Below are 6,187 nucleotides of genomic sequence, written 5' to 3'. Positions count from 1 at the left end.
GCCACTAAACTCCAGCCTGGGCAACACAGTGAGACCCTATCTCAGAAACAAAACAAAAGAAAACCAGCAGTTCAAAGACAGAAAGTCCAGGGCGGGTAGGCCACCTCCGCGGTCATCTGAGAATCATGCTCCCTCTCTCTGTGCCGCCGTTGTTAGCATGTGGGTTCCATCTTCAAATTCTCCTTTGGTAGTCATCAAAACTTCCTTCCTGGCAGCAGGAAGGAAGAAGGGGGAAGGTGAAATGAACTCTCCGAAAACTCTGATCCACTTACAACTCACTGGCCAAAATTTAGAAAAGGGTGCATTTACTTCCAGGAAAGCTGGAAAATGTGGCCTTTTAGGAGGTACATTGCTACCTTAAAGTCAGGGATTCTGTTACTAAAGAATAATGGACCGGGCGCCGTGGCTCTCCCCTATAATCCCAGCACTTTGGGAGGCCGAGATGGGCAGATCACTTGAGGCCAGGAGTTTGAGACCAGCCTGGCTAACATGGTGAAACCCCATTTCTACTAACAAATGCAAAAACTAGCTGGGCATGGTGGCGCGGGTCTGTAGTCCCAGCTACCTGGGAGGCTGAGGCAGGAGAAAATGCTTGAACCTGGGAGGCGGAGGTTGCAGTGAGCTGAGATCACGCCATTGCACTCTGGCCTGGCTGATAGAGCAAGACTCCGTCTCAAAAAAAAAAAAAAAATAGAGAGAGAGAAGGAGAACTACTGGGTGGGCAATGGCTTATTTTACTACTACAGGAGACAGCCAAGGTCTAGAGAGAATGTGCTCCTGACTGAGAGGAATGACAGTAGCCAGTAATAGACATACAGAATTTTAGAGGAGCAAGGAATCTCAGCAATCGCCTAGTCCAGTCCCCGCCTTGGCCAAGACCACACAGCACATGTGTGGCAGAGCTGGGGCCAGAATTAGCTCCCCCTGAGGAAGTAAGTGATGGAAGAGACCATGGGGGAGTTTGCAGAAGCTCCACCTGAGCGTGCCTGAGTTAAGGGCTGACTTTAGGCGACACTACAGCAACTCAGAGGAGAGTCTGGGATGGAGGAGAGTCTGGGATGGAGCAGGCTTGGGGTTGAATCGCAGCTCTGTAACTTTGGGTGAGTTACCCAGCTTCCCTGAGCCTCGGTCCTCATCTGTGTAATGGGGTAATGGCATAAAATAGGCACGCTATAAATGACAGTCATTCTTATCACTATTTTTAGAAAGCAACAAATATTTTTGGAATAATTGAATCTGAACAAATGAAACACTAATGAATGAAATTAGAACAGAAAGCTATTTATCTTAGATGGTTTGGTGATTTGCTCAATGACAGATATAAAGCTGGATAGGTGGTTTCTTATATACCCCAGCTTTAAATTTCATTACTCTAGCTTCCTGTATTTGCCCTACAAGCATTGATGTTTCCTTGGACTTCCTGTGGCCTTCCTGCCAAACCATGCCACTCTCCTCTGTGACACTTGATCCCCTTCTAAATACACCAGTCCCATAAAGGAGAGTTAGACACAGGCTTCCTCCACTTCTTGATTTAATTTTCCTTTTCTCACCCTCACATATCCTCATATACCCCCTTTCTCACTATTCCATCTTTATCAGCTTCTTCTCCTGTTCATGCAACACATTTTGAGTGTTTACAGAAGACCGAACTTAGTGTTGAGGGACAGCCTAAAGAAGACAGAAGCCATAGAATCTGGCCTCGAGCTACTTGCAATATGAAGAAAAATGCATGGCCTCAGTGCCTCTTTATCAGACATCATGAGTTTGGGGTCAGATATACAGATATCCGCTCTGTAGCTGTACGTTTCCCATCTTCCCCCTTTACCTCTGCCATTTTCCCATCTCTCTATCATTTGCTGCTTTACCTAGTTTTGTGTTATAATTAGTAACTATTTTGAAGTTTAAAAGGCTAGGAAACAGTTATATTTATGGTCTTTTCTTTATTGTCTTAAAAGCCACTTCATCAACTTAATATCAACACTCAAGGTAAAATAGTATTAAATTACCAAATGAAACATGCAAAAATCTGTAAACACTATAAGTGAGATTCTCATTAAAATTAATTTATTTTCATTGGGCATAAACTAGGTTCTAATTTTATTTGGAAATGCAGGATTTATGTCTGTTGTAAAATATGGCAATAAGTCCCACATTGCTGTAGCCAGGACTATATGCCAGCTGGAGAGGAAATGGAACTCAATATTTGCTTGTCTGTGAAGGTTTCACATCCAGAAAGCCTTAAGCCCTCTCTGCAATAAGAACATTCCTGCATTTCCTCTCCTATGGGCTTTTGCATTTCCTCTCCTATGGGCTTTTGCTTCTGCCACTAACTAGCTGGGTGGCTTTGGGAAAGCAGTTTCATTTCTCTGGGCCTCAGTTTCCCCATTGGCAAAATAAGCTAAATTACTTCCACATCAACAGTTCTCATGCTAAAGTGTGCATAAAAAGCATCTATGAAACTTCTTAAAAATGCGGAGTCCCAGTGCACCCCCTGCCCCAGAGTCTAATTCAGTAGCCCAGGGTTTGGCCCAGGAATCAGCAGTTTTAATGAACACTCCAGATAATTCTCAAGCAGGGAGTCTGACGACCACACTTCGAGAAAAGTCACTTTAAGCTCTTATCCAGCCTCAATATTCTGAGTTTTTCTCTGAAACATATGGCAAATAAATTCTAGAAGAAAGAGGAGGAGGAGAAGAAAATAAGAGAAAACCTTATTATCCCTGAGAAAGAGGTCTGAAGGGCAAATGTTGAGATTAGCGGGGCTGAGCTGTTTGCACTGACCTCTCTCTCTCCTGAGCACCTGAGCACCCCGCTCTCAACCACACATTGGGGAAGCTTGATCAGAGGCTGCCTTCTGTATTATCTGACTGCTCCCTATGAATGAATGTCTTATCTCCTTTAAAGTGTGAGTCTTCCAGCCGCAGGACCTGCTTTGACCTATCGGGCATTTTTAGCAGTCCCTCAACAGTGCCAGCTGAGCCCCCAAAGGCCTGATGAGATAACAACACAAGTGGGGTGATGGCCAACTTTGAGTCCTGGAAGAGGAGCACTTTTCAATTTCCCACCAGAGGGAAAACATCCCTCAAGCATTTCTCCCCTAGTATCCAAGGACAATTACTTTATTTATTTACTTATTTTTAATTTTTAATTTTAATTTAATTTAACTTTTTTTTTTTTGAGATAGAGTCTCGTTCTGTTGCCCAGGCTGGAGTGCAGTGGCACGATCTCGGCTCACTGCAACCTCCACTTCCCGAGTTCAAGAGATTCTCCTGTCTCAGTCTCCTGAGCAGCTGGGACTACAGGCACGCACCATCATGCCCAGCTAATTTTTGTTTTTGTTTTTGTTTTTGTTTTTTTGAGACGAAGTCTCACTCTATCGCCCAGGCTGGAGTGCAGTGGCACCATCTCGGTTCACTGCAACCTCCACCTCCTGGGTTCAAGCAATTCTCTGCCTCAGTCTCCTGAGTAGCTGGGATTACAGGCACCCACCACCATGCTGGGCTAATTTTTTTGTATTTTTAGTAGAGACGGGGTTTCACCATCTTGGCCAGGCTGGTCTTGAACTCCTGACCTCAGGTGATTCGCCCACCTCTGCATCCCAAAGTGGTGGGATTACAGGCACAAGCCTGGCCAAGGACAATTACTTTAAAAGTCCAGCTCTCTTCATTATGGATCTGAGAGGGTGAGACAGGGATGCTTAATTTTCCGTGATGGGGGTCTTCTTACTGCTGGTGAAGTTTAGGGTGATAAGTACAAGTGGGCATTTCTTGGTGTTTAAATCAGGAACTGCCTGATAGGGGAAGCTGAGATAATAACAGTAGGTAAAACTTTGTGCCATTTGTCTTAGTCAGCCTGGGCTGCTATAACAAAATACCATAGACCAGGTGGCTTGTAAATGACAGAAATTTATTTCTCACAGTTCTGGTGGCTGGGAAGTCCAAGATCAAAGTGCCTGCAGATTTCGTATTTGGTGAGGGCCTGTTTCCTTGGCCACAGATGATACCTTCTTGCTGTGTCCTTATATGGTGGAAGGGGCTAGCTAGCCCTCTGGAGTCTTTTTATTTTTATTTTTAGAGATAGGGTCTTGCTGTGTTGCCCAGGGTAGTGTAGAGGTGCAATTATGGCTCACTGCAACCTGAACCTCCCAGCTTCAAGCATTCTTCCCACCTCAGCCTCTGGAGTAGCTGGAACTACAGGCATATGCCACCACACCCAGCTAACTTTTTTTTTTTTTTTGAGACAGAGTGTCACTCTGTTGCCCAGGCTGGAGTACAGTGGCACCATCTCAGCTTACTGCAATCTCCACCTCCAGGGTTCAAGCAATTCTCCTGCCTCAGCCTCCTGTGTAGCTGGGATTACAGGCATGCACCACCATGTCTGGCTAATTTTTGCATTTTTAATAGAGATGGGATTTCACCATGTTGGCCAGGCTGGTCTAGGACTCCTGACCTCAAGTGATCCACCCACCTCAGCCTCCCAAAGCGCAGGGATTACAGGCATGAACCACCTCGCCTGGCCTAACTTTTTTATTTTTTGTAGAGACTGGGTCTCACTATGTTACCTAGGCTAGGCAAACTCCTGGACTCAAGCAATCCTCTGGCCTCAGCCTCTCAAAGTACTGGGATTACAGGCGTGAGTCACTGTGCCCAGCCTGGGGTCTTCTTTCAAAGGGCACTAATCCCATTCATGATGGCCCTGTCCTTATGACCTAATCACCTCCCAAAGATCCCAGCTTCAAATACCATCATCTTGGTGATTAGATTTCAACATATGAATTTTGGGGAAACACAAACATTCAGACCATAACACCAGGTAACGTTCTAAGTAATTTACCTGCATTAACTCATTTAAACCTCACAACAAGCCTATGAGAGAAATACTATTATTATATTCATCTCCCAGAAACCGGGGCACAAAGAGGTTAAGCAACTTGCTGAGGGTCACACATCTAGTCAGCAGAGACCCAGGATTCCAGGCAAGGCAGTTTGCCTCCGCAGCTGAAGTTCTTAACCACTTTGCTCGACTGCCTCTCATCTGTTTGAGGAGTCTCAGCTCTCCTGCAGCTGTGGCCTGTGAGCCCAAAGAGCTCCTTAACCATCCCTTTTCCGGTGTTCCCATTGGCATCTGTGTTCCACAGGACGACTATGCGGAGGGAGAGCCAAGCAGAGAGGAAGGAATGTTCTGGGGGATAACCAGGGGCAGACCCAGTGCCCTCCTGCTGAAGTGCTGGTAAACACTGACACTCTGGGAAAGCGAATAGCCTGGTGGGCAGACAAAACACAGAAACTGCTTAACAGTGTCGATCAGACCCTTCAGGGCTCTGCTGTAAACATAGGGGCAGCTGCAAGAAAAGCTGGAGCAATTGACAGCCTCTCTCCATCCTGCCCCAGTGACTTTGAAGACAAAGGTCTGATGCATTTTTCTTTGAGGGTTGTACCTCAAATGAGAGTATGCTCCTCTCGTTCTTCAGTTGATTAGATGAAAGAGATAAAACGCCTTGTGCATATTAAGTTCCCCTGCAGGAGGTGAGCAGGCAGATCTTCACTGTAACCATGCGTCACTGCCTGGATTTGAAACAAACACACCTACGAAGACACACTGGGCGTAGACTCAGTAAATAACCAGCTGACTGGCACCCAATTTCTGCCACTGAGTTGTTTTCCTCATCTTTTTTTCTCCTCATTTTTCACTGCTTTGGAGCTGTCCTGGGTGGCAGCCTCCTCCCCATTAGCATGCAGCGCCATCGTTCCTCTTCCACCTTCAGAGTCCTGGGACCCAGACTTAGTACGGAGGGGAGAAATGAGGGCAGGGCTAAAGAGGAATGCATAAAAAATAAATGAGCCATTCATAAAACTGAATATTATTACCAAAAGGAACCGTCTGCCAGCATCTCCATGTATATATTAACTCAGCTGCTATCTCTGTAACAACAAGGAATTAAGCCAATGCCTCATCTTTATAGTGGCTGCTCAGTTGATTTAGTATTAACTTTAAACAACCAATTGTGAAATGAGCACTTCACTTTGCCATAATGATGATGAGGTTTCGCCTGTACCATTTTTTATAACGTAAGCCTGAAAATTGGTAAAATAAATTCAGCTGTGCTTAGAACGTTCTTCCAGCTCTCCCAAGGAGCCAGAAATTCAGGTGGGGGGGAATTGCTTAATTTAACCAGCTTCATGAAGTC

General features: G+C 45.4%; 1 annotated feature.

Annotated features, from left to right (window-relative positions):
* Positions 5,121-5,621: an enhancer, noted in NCBI's record as "H3K27ac hESC enhancer chr4:153528082-153528582 (GRCh37/hg19 assembly coordinates)". NCBI's record gives its function as "activates a minimal SCP1, AML or CMV promoter by ChIP-STARR-seq in primed H9 embryonic stem cells {active_cell/tissue: H9 hESC(primed)}" and the evidence as "EXISTENCE:reporter gene assay evidence [ECO:0000049][PMID:30033119]".

The sequence above is a fragment of the Homo sapiens genome, chromosome 4 (assembly GCF_000001405.40).
Source record: "Homo sapiens chromosome 4, GRCh38.p14 Primary Assembly".
Taxonomy (NCBI): Eukaryota; Metazoa; Chordata; class Mammalia; order Primates; family Hominidae; genus Homo; species Homo sapiens.
This window is presented reverse-complemented; position numbering and strand designations above follow the sequence as displayed.